This window comes from Homo sapiens, chromosome 11 (assembly GCF_000001405.40).
Source record: "Homo sapiens chromosome 11, GRCh38.p14 Primary Assembly".
In the NCBI taxonomy this organism is placed as follows: Eukaryota; Metazoa; Chordata; class Mammalia; order Primates; family Hominidae; genus Homo; species Homo sapiens.
The window spans coordinates 34,903,763-34,918,734 of record NC_000011.10 but is presented as its reverse complement, the minus strand read 5'-3'; the positions used below and the strand labels follow the sequence as shown (position 1 = coordinate 34,918,734).

The 14,972-nt window shown below is 43.8% G+C and overlaps 2 protein-coding genes across 7 annotated transcripts in view, besides 3 other annotated features; one reads left to right on the top strand and one right to left on the bottom strand.

The window, feature by feature from the left end:
- The window catches only part of PDHX (pyruvate dehydrogenase complex component X), an 80,209-nt gene extending 77,394 nt beyond the window's left edge, over positions 1 to 2,815 (bottom strand). For 2 of the 4 annotated variants that reach the window (NM_003477.3, NM_001166158.2), the window contains exon 1: positions 1,920 to 2,117. In NM_003477.3, coding sequence (NP_003468.2) covers positions 1,920 to 2,079 — 160 coding nt within the window. In that variant the 5' untranslated portion in view covers positions 2,080 to 2,117. Of the gene's footprint in view, positions 1 to 1,919; positions 2,118 to 2,248; positions 2,298 to 2,796 lie in introns of those variants that run through there. The other 2 variants (XM_011520390.2, NM_001135024.2) reach the window with 2 other exon arrangements.
- Positions 1,816 to 2,115: an enhancer, noted in NCBI's record as "active region_4608". NCBI's record gives its function as "activates an Ori minimal core promoter by ATAC-STARR-seq in GM12878 lymphoblastoid cells {active_cell/tissue: GM12878}" and the evidence as "EXISTENCE:reporter gene assay evidence [ECO:0000049][PMID:35858748]".
- Positions 2,286 to 2,335: a silencer, noted in NCBI's record as "silent region_3254". NCBI's record gives its function as "represses an Ori minimal core promoter by ATAC-STARR-seq in GM12878 lymphoblastoid cells {active_cell/tissue: GM12878}" and the evidence as "EXISTENCE:reporter gene assay evidence [ECO:0000049][PMID:35858748]".
- Positions 2,356 to 2,695: a silencer, noted in NCBI's record as "silent region_3253". NCBI's record gives its function as "represses an Ori minimal core promoter by ATAC-STARR-seq in GM12878 lymphoblastoid cells {active_cell/tissue: GM12878}" and the evidence as "EXISTENCE:reporter gene assay evidence [ECO:0000049][PMID:35858748]".
- Positions 2,356 to 14,972, top strand: part of APIP (APAF1 interacting protein) — a 34,085-nt gene continuing 21,468 nt past the window's right edge. For 2 of the 3 annotated variants that reach the window (NM_015957.4, XM_011520154.4), the window contains exon 1: positions 2,356 to 2,507. In NM_015957.4, coding sequence (NP_057041.2) covers positions 2,451 to 2,507 — 57 coding nt within the window. In that variant the 5' untranslated portion in view covers positions 2,356 to 2,450. Of the gene's footprint in view, positions 2,508 to 6,621; positions 6,763 to 14,972 lie in introns of all 3 variants that reach the window. The other variant, XM_017017875.3, reaches the window with a different exon arrangement.

Genomic DNA, 14,972 nt, shown 5'->3' with positions numbered 1-14,972 from the left:
TTTTGGACTTCGGACCTCTAGAACTATGAGATGTGAATTTGTGTTGTTTTAAGCCACTAATTTCTGGTAATTTGTTGCAGCAGCACTAGAAAACTAATTTGGCTTTCCTTGAGATGCCATGCCTTCTTCCTGACAGATGGTATTCAAACTGGGGTAGACAAGTTGTTCATGGTATATGTCTAGGGGATAGGGAATAGGTAAAAAAGCATCATGAGGATGCAGATAAGGATTGCTTGCCTAACTGAGTTTCTAAAGGCATTAAACTGGGCCTATGTATACTTTTTTTTTTTTTTCTCCTGAGACAGGGTCTCACTCTGTCACCCAGGCTAAAGTGCAGCGGCAGGATCATAGCTCAATGAAACGTCTAACTCCTGGGTTCAACGGATCCTCCTGCCTCAGCCCCTGGAGTAGCTGGGATGCCAGCACGCCTGGCTTTTTTTCTTTCTTTTTTTTTTTTTAAGTAGAGACGGGGGTCTCACTTTGTTGCCCGGGCTGGTCTCCAACTCCTGGGCTCTAGCAATCTTCCAGCTTCGCCTCCCAAAGTGCTGGGATTACAGGCGTGAGCCACTACGTGCACATTTTTGTGTGTGACCATTTATGGTACTTCCTCTGTACAGAGAGTCTGTAACATTTTCAAAGATTCTCAAAAGGATCTGCTTGATAAACAAGATTAAGAGCACTCTTCCTAGATTATATCCAATACTAAACTTTTAATATTCCATGATTTTCTAAGGCAGTGAGTCTCAAAGCTCATTCCATTAAATGTCAAAATAAAACATCAAAACTCATCCAACATTTGTAAAATGCAGATTCCTGAGCCCCACACCAGACCAGACCGAATCTCTAGGAGCTGGAAAAAAGTTTAATTTCAACAAACTTGGAGGAGGGAAGAGAAGGAATTCTGCACACACTGTTAAAGCACCTCTGCTCCAAGGAATATGTTATGAAACATTACACCAAAAATGAAATAAATTGTTCCCATTAAGGAACCTTTAGGAACCCCAATACACTCATCTTACCATATGACTTTGTGTGATTTTTTTTTTCTGAGCCTAAGGTAGCTCAGAATATGAAGGCAACGTCTACTAGACCTATTTAAATTAAAATTCATTCTGTAGAGTGCCAGGAACGATGATTGGCAGGTAATACGTCACACTAAAAAACGTCAGTCCTATTCTCCATCCCCGCCTCCCTCCAACCTTCTCCCAAAATAAGGAAAAATAATACCCGGCCTGCCATTTTGCATACTGTTAAATACTGCAAGAATTGTGTTAACTGCATCAATATCATTACTAAACAACAATTTTCTATAATAAATTTTTGGTATGATTTATCTCCTAAATGTTTGCTCTTTCAAGCGAATATTTGCTTGAAACATTCTCCTGGACCTTTGTCTATCGTGATGCCGTAGGAATTTACAAATTTAAGTCTTCCACGAGTCATGGCGTGGGGTAAAACTCGACTGGCCTCAATGAAAACACCTCCTAACAGAGAGAGGCCTAGAGAATAAGTAAGAACTCCCAACAGTGGCTTTTCAATCTCGGCAACCTTGGGCAGCTTTTTCTCGTCCGAGACGTTTGACAACCCTAAAGAAACCTGAGCCTTGATTGGAAAGGGGGCTGAGGGAGGAGAGTTTGGGAACCCTCTCTGCGCCTCACAAATAACCCAAATTCCAAGGCAAGGTCACAAAGCCATACAAACCAGGGGGCCTAGGGCAGAGTCGAGTTCTCTCAGCTGCCAAGAAAGCCCTTCACAGCATGCATTAGGCCAAGTCGGCGGACCCCAACCGGAGAAAGAGGAAAGGGAATAAGGAGCCCGCGCACCTTCACACCCAAAAGCAGGCCCTCAATCATAACTGCCCCTGTCCCAGGCCCATCACTCAGCTACACAGAGAAGCTGAGCGAGCCCCGGCCACTCACCCCGAAGCCACTGCGTGCTGTGAAACCATCTCCAATTAGCTCCGCGGCTTACAGACCACCCAAGAGCCCCCTTCACCAGCCCTACGCTTCGGCGGCCGGGGAAGCCCACAAGATAACGCAGCAGCCGCGGATCACAGCCCAGCCTCCAGGAGGCCGCCATCTTGACGGCCTTCTCACTGGCTGCCCGCAGCACAGCCTGATGTCCAGCATCAAGGCCCCGCCTCCCGCATGGTTGGCCACGCCCCCAGACGCTAGCGGTGCCTTTAGGTCTCTCAGACTTGAACCCCCGCCCCCCAACCCAGCCCCGCCTCCAACCACGTTGGCCTTGCCTCCCGGGAAGTCAGGTGCGCCGCTGGATATCTCAGCCGGCGGGGCCTTACCAGACCCCGGCCCCCGCCCCGTTCGCCCCGCCCCCGGGCTGCCCTCAGCGCCGCCTGATTGCATTTGCGGCCTCGCTGCCGTATCCCAGGCTAAGCGCCGCGCGCAAAGCCGTGCGGAGATTGGAGGCCGCGCGGGTCCCTGGTCTGGGCCATGTCTGGCTGTGATGCTCGGGAGGGAGACTGTTGTTCCCGGAGATGCGGCGCGCAGGTAGGGGCGGGGCCACCGGTGCCCGGTATTCCCAGGAGGAGAGGCCCAGGCGGGACCCGGCGGCTGGAGCTGGGCGCAGGGTAGCGGGCCGGGCGTTTAGCTGCGGGGCGGGGTTTCGGGCCTGGCCGTTCGCTACCCCGGCGCACCGCGACCTTGGCGTTCGGAAGCAAGGCTGCGAGGCCCCAGGAGATCAGTGGTCTCGGGCGGGGCGCTCCGATGGCGGGAGCTGGGCGCCAAACGTTGGAAAGAAGCAAATAACTGAGAGAGGAGAGCGTTTAGGTGACCTCACCGGGTATTTATCAGGAAGGCAGGCCAGAGAAGGAATCGTGAAGCACCGAAGTGGAGCTGGGGCGAAGACCGCGCCCCCCAAGCTTCTTTTCTGCGCCCTGACGACCAGTTAGGCGTTTGGGGGGACGTTTGGCACTCGGGAGACGTTTGCCGAACCGGAGCTGTGCCTCAGCTGCCAGCGCTTTGCCTTTGAGCAGTTGCTCCTTGCCTATCTCCGTTTAGATGAATTGTGGGATGATCATGGGAACGATTCTTCCTTAAGCCGAAGTCAAAGGGAAATCCACCCTCACGCTGCATGTAGTTTTCGGTCATTTACACAAACCAACAGTTTTATGGAGCGCCTTCTACACGCTCAGAGATAGGGATACGTAAGATAAATGGCCCAGGGTCTGGAGAACTAGACGAATAAGCAGTTTCAGCACAATATGATAAACCCCACCTAAGAGGCAGGGAAACCCCTCAAAATTAGTTTCCTTATTCCCCCTATCTTATTCCTCCTATCTATATCTTTCTTAGGGTTGAAAATCCTAATTAAAAAGTAGTAACTCGCGGGAGATTTCATTGCTAAACATTTGTCAACCACTTTCTTGTTTGAATAAGTGACTTCCCCAAATTAGCAAAGACGACTCTGAAAATAGAATGCTGCATAGGCAAGATTGGATGAGAGAGAGAAGATCTTGGAGACAGGACAGGTAACTGGAGATCGTTCCTGGGCAAGTGTGTATGGAGAAGTGTCCGTACCCTCAATCAGTAAATCTTAGTGTAATGTCATCAGAATGAGCATCAAAGAGAGCCTTAAGGGACCCGAGAATAAACTAGGATTCTCAAACCAAACATGGCCCACAGACAGCTTGGTGGACAGGCATGTTTTTTTTTTGCTGCACTCAATGTTCATGAAAAATTTGAGCCAACCTTTTTTTTTTTTTTTTTTTTTTTTTGACACGTTTTGCTCTTGTTGCCCAGGCTGGAGTGCAGTGGCGTGATCTCAGCTCACTGCAACTTCTGCCTCCTTGGTTCAAGCGATTTTCCTGCCTCAGCCTCCCAAGTAGCTGGGATTACAGGCGCATGTCACCACACCCAGTTAATTTTTGTATTTTTAGTAGAGACTGGGTTTCACCATGTTGGCCAGGCTGGTCTCGAACTCGTTATCTCAGGTGATCCACCCCCCTAAGCTGCCCAAAGTGCTGGGATTACAGGTGTAAGCCACCACGCCCTGCCAAGCCAACATTTCAAAATCCAGAATCATTTCAGCTTCTTTTAAAACCTCAGAACACATGGTGACATTGGGCCCTTATTTTTTCATGGGATCTGGATTGCGGTTACTAGTGAACACCACCTTTACAGAGGGTGCTGGCCAGGTTACCACAGCTTCCACTACTCACACTGGATTTGCATATCTAGTTAAATACATGAGCCCCTCTAGATATTTGTATTTGTCTGGTTTTGTACAAATACATAAAAACAGCAATAAGAAAAGTTTTAAGAAGTCATAAAATTTCATTGTAGTTTTAGGGGGTCATGGGCAATGGAAAGAGACAGTCTCTTTGGCCTTAAGGAAGGGGAATGTTCAACTGTAAGTGATTAATTCAACGAATATTTAGTGAGCGCCTACTATGTGCCAGGCATTGTGGATTTATAAGTGCAAGCTGCATCTGGTTCCTTCTCCCCTAGAACATGCTGTACAGTGGAAGAGACAAATTAGCAAAGAGACAAAGATGGTATGACAACATGACATAGTTTGACATATGACGATATGACTTAGATGGGAAAGTTCAAGGTAGTTTAGGAGTATACACTTGAATGGGTTAGAGAATACCTCAGGAAACAGTGAAAGTATCTACTGAGGCCTAAAGGATCAGGAAGACATAACCACATGCAATGAAAGTAAGGATATTCCAAGTAGGGGAAGTAGCATGTACACAATCTCAGGGTTGTCCTTGATTACAGACATGGTGTGTTCCCATATTAAGTTTGGTGTTCTGGAACATAAAGTAGGGGCCAGAGACTTGAGATGAAGCTAAAGAGAAAAGCTAGTGAGAGGTAAAGCCGCTGGGCTTCTGGGTCGGATGGGGACTTGGAGAACTTTTCTGTCTAGCTAAAGGATTGTAAATGCACCAATCGGCGCTCTGTGTCTAGCTAAAGGTTTGTAAACCCACCAATCAGCTCTTTGTAAAATGGACCAATCAGCAGGATGTGGGTGGGGCCAAATAAGGGAATAAAAGCTGGCCACCAGAGCCAGCAGCGGCAACCCCCCTCGGTCACCTTCCAGGCTGTGGAAGCTTTGTTTTTTCGCTCTTCACAATAAATCTTGCTGCTGCTCACTCTATGGGTCCGCACTACCTTTATGAGCTGTAACACTCCCTGCGAAGGTCTGCGGCTTCATTCCTGAAGTCAGCGAGACCATGAACCCACCGGGAGGAACGAACAACCTGCGTGCCACCTTTAAGAGCTGTAACACTCACTGTGAAAGTCTGCAGCTTCACTCCTGAAGTCAGCAAGACCACGAACCCACCAGAAGGAAGAAACTCTGAACATCTGAACGAACAAACTCCGTACACACCATCTTTAAGAACTGTAACACTCACCGCAAGGGTCCGCGGCTTCATTCTTGAAGTCAGTGAGACCAAGAACCCACGGGAAGGAACCAATTCTGGACAAACTAGGACCAGACCTAAAGGGCCTGTTAAGCAAATCTTAGATTTTTAAACTAAGGGCAATGAGATAATCAGCAGGATGACTGAAGAAGGCCTGGGGATTGCTGGCTAGAGTTAAAAAGACCAGAGGCATGGAGACAGACTAGGAAGCCGTGGCAGGCATCCAAGCAAGAGATGCTGTAGGTCTGAGTGAGGGAGTAAAATCAGGAGGTCTTGGTTATTGATTAGATGTGTGTAGTGAGAAAAGAAGTCAAGAATGACTTTTAGGCTTCTGATCTAGTGATTGGGGCCTGGTGGTCCACCAGAAAGAGAATACAGGAGGAAGAAACAGTTTATGATGGGTGTGTTGTGGACATGTTGAGTTTGAGGTACAGCCTCAGCATGTGGTACTATACACTGAGTGTATTTAGCAGGGTTCTCTAGAGGGACAGAACTAATGGAATATATATATAAAGGGAAGTTTATTAAGCATTAACTCACGTGAACCCAAGATCCCGCAATAGGCCGTTTGCAGGCTGAGGAGCGAGGAGAGCCAGTCTGAGTTCCAAAACTGAAGAACTTGGAGTCCAGTGTTCAAGTCGGGAAGCATCCAGCACGGGAGAAAGATGTAGGCTAGGCCAGTCTCCCTTTTCACATTTTTCTGCCTGCTTGTATTCTAGCCATGCTGGCAGCTGATTAGATTGTGCTCATCCAGATTAAGGGTGGGCCTGCCTTTCCCAGCCCACTGACTCAAAATGTTAATCCTCCTTTGGCAGCACCCTCACAGACACACCTAGGATCAATACTTTGTATCCTTCAATCCAGTCAAGTTGACACTCAGTATTAACCATCACACTGGGTATTGCTTTCAAGCTAGGAGAGAGAACTGGATTGGAGATAAAGATTTGGAAGACTTGCTCACCAAAACCTTCGCTCTCAAGACCTGTGTATTTATATTATTCTGTCTTTGATAGACACTCTTTTCTGAACACATATTATAAAAGATATTATATATCTTTTCTGAACACTCTGTAGCCCATTCAATAATTTTTATTATCATTTGCAGTAACATCCCCAAGTGACTTATGTTTCATGTACTTTCTTCTTGTATTCTAAAGATTCTTCAGGCATCAAGTGTATTATTTTCGGGTCAGACTCAGCTTATGACAATAATCTCTGACCTGGTTTTACAGCTCTGAAATTAAATCCCTACTGACTGGCCCTTGAACTGATTTTTTCTAACATCAGCAAAAGTCAAGGAGTGTTTCCCTAAAAAAGAAAGCATTTACTCAGAAACCGTATATTGAAGTCCAGGCTGAAAAATGCAAACATGAGTAAGTTGTTCCTATTTTTCAGAAACTTGGGCAGTTGCAAATGCATATTTATAATTAATATATACCAGTAATGGGCAGTGGGGCATGGGGGGAAAGGATGAAGTTCCATTAGGGGATGACAAAGTATTTTGCAAGTATAGAGGGAGGGGAAGGTCATTTCATACAGTGACTCATGGAAGACTTCATGGAGAATATGGCATTTTAGATTGGCCAGATGGAAACCAAAAAGAAGATACTAGGGCCAGCATATGCCCTGTTTTAAGAGGTAGCACTACACAACACTGATCGTTTTTGCTATGTGGGAGTATTATGGGCCCATTGTTTAGTTTTGCTTTTTTAAGGGAAACTGGAAACTCAGATTTTATATGAAATCTCTTGATTTTAAAATTTAGGCTCAGACTCTTTCTAAGCATTGCGTAGACCAAATAAACAACTTCCTGTGAGCCTGAAGCAGTCCACAAAATACCATAACCTCTGATACAGGACTTTTTTTAATGTAAGAGATATGATGTTAATGCAACCAACGTTTATTGAGCAAAGCACTGTGGTAGGTATAGCTATACCAAGAGCCCATTCTCTGCTTAGTTGCAGAGAAAAACCAGGTAGGGACTACTTCTATTTTTTTAATTTTACCTTAACTATCACAGTGTCCTATATATGTTGACACTGAACAAATATTTTTTCTTTGATATTTCTGCAGCACAAGTACATCCAGTACCTTGCCCTTTTTTTTTCCTTGACCTCATCACTGCTGTTCATCTTTACCGCCCCCTCACTCTAACATCCCATTCCCATGGTCATATCCTTCTCTGCCCAACCCCTACCCTTTTACCATACACTTTTTTGGGTATATTCAACTATATGAATTAGTGTGTCTACAAGTATTCTGGTGTCTTACTGCAGCTGGCCTCTGAGTAGCATGTGACAGTCCTCTGGGGAGTTTCCTTTTACATTCCCCTAAGTAGCTGTTCCAGAACCTCATCATTTCACCTCATCCTTTACCCCACACCTGTTTCAAAGGTGACCTTGCCTCCAAAATCACAAAGAAACTGAAAGCTATTAGGTGTGAACTTCTTAATGTCTTCCTCTTTCCACATGCAGTATAATGTAAAGGTTAAGGACCAGGATCTAGAATCAGACTGCCTGGGTTCAAATTCTGGCTCTGCCTCTTGCTATCTTGGTGGCCTTGGACAAGTTACTTAATCTCTCTTAGTACAATAGGGTTGTTATAAGGATAAAGTAAAGTATTCCATATAAAGGCTTTAGAAAAATGCCTGGCACAAAATAAGCACTCTATAAAGAAATGTTAGCAATTCTTATTATCAGTGGTATTATTACATATTTAATATTACATTGTTAATATTATTACATACTTACCTGCATCTTTACCTTTCCTCCCATTCCTGTTTTTCTAATGCCAGCTTCTCTATCTCGACAAAGGCTGACCTCTTAGACCTCTGCTTTCCTGTATGTTTAATCTTTCCCTGTCTCCTCATGTTACCCGTTAGCATGTAACAGAAAACTGTCTTAATTAACCAGTTTTTCCCTTCTTTTTCCCTGTCTAGCCCTTCTTTATAGCAACACTATTGAAAGAGTCATTAGAACTCCATGCCTCCAAGTTTCATTTACTTCTAAATGAAAGTGAGTGAAGCTCACTGCGATCTTGCTTCCACACCCAGTCTATTGAAACAGTTGTTACTTAAGGTCGTGGTTGACCTAATTTACATATGGAGTTGGCCTAGCCAAACCTTTAGCCAGGATGAACCCTGCCACCCATTTCTTTGGGCTGGCATTGAGCAGCTGAACATTGCTGGAGAATATTGCACAACTTTGTTGTCTGGCCTTGCTTCATGATTTCAACCTCAAATCGTCACTTACTGCTGCCCAACAGCCCATCTTTGTTTCTCTAGTAGTTCGGTGTTCCACTCCCAAAGATGACTGTTTTATACCTTTTATTCTCTTGTCAAGCCTCTCATACCCTGTTGCCATACTCAGCTGATGACTTTGTTTATACTGAAGACAATAGAAGTCATTAGGTAATGAACTTCCTCACCTTCCTACCACAAAACCTACCAATCTGCTGGAATGTGAACCCAGCTTCTCTCATTTCATGAAAGGCAAGAAGCCCAGTTCCTCCACTAGAGCTCAGGATCTCCAAGCCCTCTCACCTTCTATAATTATTTCTCTCCTTCTCCCCGTGTCTCCTATTAGGAATCATTTCCTTTCTGGTAAGACTGTTGTCATCAGCTTTCAAGCCCTTCCACATCTTGCCCCTACAAATTTATCTTCCGCCACCCTCAGCACTTCCTCACTCTGCTCTAGCCAACTGATCTTCCGCCTGTGAAGTACTTGCTCACTTCAGAGCCTTCACACCTGCTGTTTCCTCTGCCTGGAGTACTTGCCTCTCTCAACACAAAACCTTGCACACACACACGTACTCATTCATCACACACTGGCTTAGTTCATGTCTTTTAGGTCCTAGATTAAATGCCACCTGCTCAGAGAGGCCTTCCTTGACTGCGTTAATCAAAGTTGATCCCTGCCGTTTTTCTCCAAGTCCCATGTTTCTTTCCTGCTTGGCACTTTTTACAGTTTATTTATGTATTCTGTTTACTTTTTAAAAACTCCTCCCCAGAGTGTGAATTCTTTTAGGTCAGGCCCTGGGAATTCAGGTCCAGTTTATAGCTGAATTCCCAGGGCCTAGAAGAGTGTTCAGCACATGGTAATGTTTCTGACCCACATCCCAGGGAACGATATCATCCACTCAGCTACTCAGCTGACCACACACTTGGGAGTCTTTGAAGCCTTCGTTTGTCTCCTTCAGTTTTCTCACCCCAAGTCCTTCATCTTCCAAATGCATCTTCACAGTCCCTTCCTTCCAGCTTCCTTTTTAAACTCTTTCAGCAGCCTCCCTGCTCTTCTGGGCTTTTGCTTTCTTGACCACTGCCTTTCAGCCTCTTTCGTTTACTGACACTGTGCAAATGTTTCCAAAACAGACTCTTATCACATATCTTACGTTTCAAACTCTTTGGTGGTTTTCAATCATCCATGAAATATAGGTCAAAGCCCTGTGCATAGCATAGAAGACCCTTTAGACTCAGCCTCCCTTTTACCTCCATCCTGCAGAACCTAATTTATAACCACTTCCAGCTACTAAGCATTCTTTCTGACTGAAATGCCCTTTCTCCTCTTCACCTACCCAGCATATACTCCCACCGTCCTTCATTAAGACAGATATAAGAAATACCAACATAGAACAGACTACTGGTGTTAATTCAGAAGTCTGGAGATCACTGATCCAGATTATTAATAGAAGGAGACTGATGCCCAGAAAGTATCACTGACTTGCCTTAGGGCACACAGCTAGTGGGGTCCAAGCTAAAAACAGGCTCCATGTCTTCTGATTTCTAGTCAACACTTGACTGATGAGGAGGAGGAGGGTTTTTAAGTGTGGTGAAGGTAGAAGAGAGAGCTGGGGCATTCAAGTAAAGAAAACCAAGATGCATAGAGAGACAAGTGCAACAAGTGTGCAGAATGAAACGAAGACCAAGGACAGAGAGAAAGTATGACTCATCTTTACTGTGCCTGCATTCAGTCCCTTCCTGAGCCCAGTGTCAGGAAAATAAGTGAAAGACTTTGAAACAAACAAAAAGAGTATTTACTGGGTATCTTGGAGTTATTATTATGCTATTTTACAACTCTCAGTTGTGGAATCCTGGCAGTTAACGCAGGTGATTGTTGTTCATGGAAATGCAAGTTGTGTTCAATGGAGATTCATTTTATTGTTAACCTGTGGACAGTATCCAGTTTTGCTAAGTCAGGATTCCTCGTTACTTATATTATGTATGTTTTGAATTCTCCTTTTGAATCAGTTGTAACATCTTACTAGTTTCCCCATTTATTGATGAGTTACTAATCTCATGCATGTTATTTTATACTTGTATGAGAGTCTTCCAGGAAAACCTGTATCTGAGGAATATATGCCTATATTTGCTTAAGTTGAAAGAAAAGATGGGGGAGGGGATTAGAGCCATTGTTGGCTGTGAGTAGTATCTCGGAGACAAGCCAGGCTGATTTCCTTAAAATAACTAGATTGAAAAATTGGAAAAATTAATACCAAATCAAAACTTGTTAGACATTAATGATTTTGATATATACAAAATGCTGTTAAATGTGTTTCCTCCTCACTGTAGAACCTCTACTATAAATAGTTGATTGTAATCAATCTTTAGATACACATTTCAAAATTATTATTATAACTGAAAACCAGATCTAACAATAATAGGAAAGTAATATTGACATTCAGGAGAGAACTAGATACCAATTGAACCTTTCCTTCTTGTCAATTCTTGTTAAAATATATGTTCTGGTAGTTACTTTCTTCTGGACAGTTTAAATGACTTCATTTTCACCAAGTATATCTCTGTTGGTGCCTGCTAAGTGATAATCTCTTTGAAATTTTAATTTTATGGGTCTCAAGGATTGAAAATGTATTAACAGCAGCTGCCTTGTCATTGTTATTGCTTTAGCTTGAAGCTGGCTAATTGCTGTAATATCGCAGCACTGGAAAAGACAAAAGAGAAAGGGGAGACCTGTAATAAAAGACCATTTTCTGTAATGTGTGCTATTTGCTGTGCAAATTGATGGTTTTAAGGGTTGGAAGACTGCAGGAGTCTTCCCATTAGCTGTACTTTAAAATGTAGTTAAAATATCACTTATATCCCTAAATAAGGAAGTAGCAAATTATACAGGCATAGGTAATTTGGGCTAGATTTCTTAAGGACGGATATAAGAAATACCAACATAGTTTTTCCTTAATAACTCCTGTAATATTCCCTTCCTGAGGAGATGTCACCCTAACTGCTGTTAGGGGGTTTTGGGCAAGAACTCTTTCTGGCTACTTCCTGCCGAAAAGGGACATCAAGTGGGGAACAACAGCTAGGGCTCCTCCTGGGGTTGATCTAAGGGTCCTCGGAAGAATGGCACGTCCACGTGTGGTTCGGTTTGCAGCACCATTTGGATTGATTGCTTCTAGGCAAGAGGAAATGATTTGAGTTATAGTATTGAGTATGCAAGGTCCAAATATTAATACAAGACATATAAGTAGGAGTGGACTTAATAAAGGAGCTAACCAATTCCATAAAGAAGACTAGAATTCATTAAAGAGGAATTGTAGCCACCCGGGGCTGAAGCCTGCGTGTTCTTGTAGCCTCTTAATGATTTTGATTTGATCTTTAGGTAGCTGTAGATTTTCCTCTGCTTTACTAGAGGTGTTAATCCAGAAGCAGCATGTTTCATTTATAAGTGCACAGGTACCTCCTACTTCAGCTGTGAGGACGTCTAAGCCCCGTCTATTCTGTGCTGCTACTGTGGTGAAAGAGTCTGTAGATTGCTGTCGTGCCTCTATGGTACCTACAGTTGCCTTCCACCCTTGTTGCATCATAATAGAAATAGTAAGTACTGATCTTTCAAGGAGAGGGAAGCCCGTAATCCAGACTAGACCTCTGGCTATAGAATTTCCCATTCATGGTTTTTCTAAGATGGGATTGTCATGTGCATGCCCTCCCCAGTCTGCTCTTTCAGTTAAATCTCCCTATGAGGGCATAGAAATGATAGATCTCTTTCTCTGGTGTATTCAAGATAGTGTAGTCTCTAGAAAAGAGCCTCAATTAGGGATGACTCCAGATGATGCTGCCATCTTGGTAGAATTTAAAAATAATAAGTCAGGAACTAGTGCTACTATAGTACAAGTTCCCTTCCAATGCCTTGGGAGGATTAAATGTATCCAGGAGCCACAAAAAAAAAAGTAGCCCTGTTCCTTGAAGAGACAGTTCTAAATTGTGGCTTGTGAGAGACACCGGCAGATTTTTCTGATATCTTAGAAGTTTCCCTTCTTTACATATAATAGGGGCATCCTTGGGATAAGGATATCCATATTTACAATATTTACGATGCCATTTGGAATTCGACATGTCAAGTGAGAAGCGTCCACCTGACAAATGGAGTTTCGAAAAATTAGAGACATAATATGCCCTGGCCAGTATCTCAGATGATCCTGTGGCAAGGGCTGTCAGTCCAGATGCCTCCAGTTTGCCCACAGATCTGTAAGCCGCTACTATTAGCAAACATGATACAACGGTCTGGAATTCCATGAGGGGGCATGTTTGGAAAGGCCCATCTGTTATTCTTTACAATATAGTCAAGGTGGTTACTTAGAGCATGCCACTCCCATCGGGGCTTCCAACCAGAATGAGAGGCTAGATTCTGAAAGCCCCCCAACTAGGGCTTCTAATCCTTTTAGATCACCCTTGTTGCACTCTCCTCCCTAAATATTTGAACTAACATCAATTACAAGTATGATGTTACAATATTTGAGATCTCCCAAGCATGGTCCTTCCTCGCTGCTTTTAAAGCAGAGAGAGGCATTTGCTGTTACTCAGTCTTGTCCCAGCCTGAGGATGTGAAGCTTATCTTCAGGCAGAGTGTTCTCCGGCACTGGGAGCAGAGTGTTGCTCCCATACCATGTCCAATTTATGCCTGCTAGGTCTTTAAGGGTAAAGGTAAAGCCAATAAAGGGAATCCTAAAACAGTGAATTCTGGGTCATTGTAAGTTTCCTTAGCGTCACTGAACTGAGCAAACCACTTAGGACAGACCCAACAATTAGTCTTGTTGTACAAATGGACCATGGCAGATATTGCAGGAGCTAAAGGGTGTGATGTATTACTAAGTCCGATAAAAAGTCCTAATAGACTGAGTGATAGTAAAACGCTCATGTTTACTTCCTTTTCATAACTGTTATTCCTGCTATGAGGATAATAATTAAGCAGAATGCTACAGTAATTGAGATTATCTGTCTGATATTCCACCCTGAGGGTGCTACAGCATATAGTCCTACTGCAAATAGTAGAGTGAGTAAAACAATTCCTGCAAGGGTGGCGTAGTAAATAATTTCCATCAAAAAGAAGTTCTAATATTTGGCAGCGAATCTCAAAAGGAGAGGTGGAAATGGCAAGAAGTATTTGGTGAGGTAGGGGTGAGACTAAGATAAGTAGTTTTCATTCAGTTACTTTTGTGATTTTCAGCTTAAGATCTCCTCTTTCTTTATATTGATATTCAAGGCATTCCTCTGGGTTGTCAGGGGTTGCTCCCTCAGGTCTCCAGGCTTTGACTCCAATATAATGTATCCAGGAGTCGATTCCTGTAACTTTTATTGCCTAGGGGCTTGAAAGAAGAACAGTGTAAGGTCCTTCCCAGCCTGGGCTTAGGGAGGGAGAGAGAGAAGGGAGAGCCTTTACAAGTACCAAATCTCCTGGGTTAAACAGAGGTGGTCCAGTTTCCTGGGGTTGGGCTTTTGCTAGTCGCTTCCTGTTGGAACTGAGCCAGAGAGGTTACATGCTTAACTAGCTCAGAGGTTTCCCAATCTAACAGAAAATCATTGGTAAGAAAAGGCCATCTGTACAGCATCTCAAAAGGGCTAAGACCTAATTTTGAAGGGGTATTTCTTATTCGTTAAGGCCATGGGAATAAGAGTGACCCAAGGAAGGTGAGTTTCTTGGGATAATTTTCAGAGGTGTCTCTTGATAATATCATTAGTTTTCTCCACCTTTCCTGAGAATTGGGGTCTCCAAGCACAATGGAGATGATATTCTATGCCTAGTGCTTTTGAGACCCCTTGTGTGACAGCTGCCTTAAACAAGGGCCCATTGTCACTTTGAAGGTACTTCGGTAGACCAAAGCAGGAAGTTATTTCATTAACTAACATTTTTATTACCTCAGAGGCTCTTTGTGGATGGCATGGAAATGCTTCTACCCAGTTAGTGAAGGTGTCTACCCATACCAGCAGGTATTGAATGCCCTTTGTCTTTGACATGTGGGTGAAGTCTATTTGCCAGTCTTCCCCTGGATAACTTCCTGTTCTTTGGGTTTGAGGAGGAAGGAGTCACATTTTCAGGGGATTATTTTTAAGACAGACTTCACAGGTATTAATAACTTGCTTGACTGTTTTTGGTAAGTTCTCTCCTGAAAACAATCTCTGGGCACGTTGATAAGTTTTATCCTTTCCCAAGTGAAAACCTTGGTGAAGGATTTTAAGGATTTTCCATTGGCTGGAGGCTGGCAAGTGGTGTTTGCCATCCTCTGACTGTAGCCATCCTGAGGACTAAAAGGTATACCCTCGAGACAAAGTGGTCCATTCTATTTCTGTAGGGGA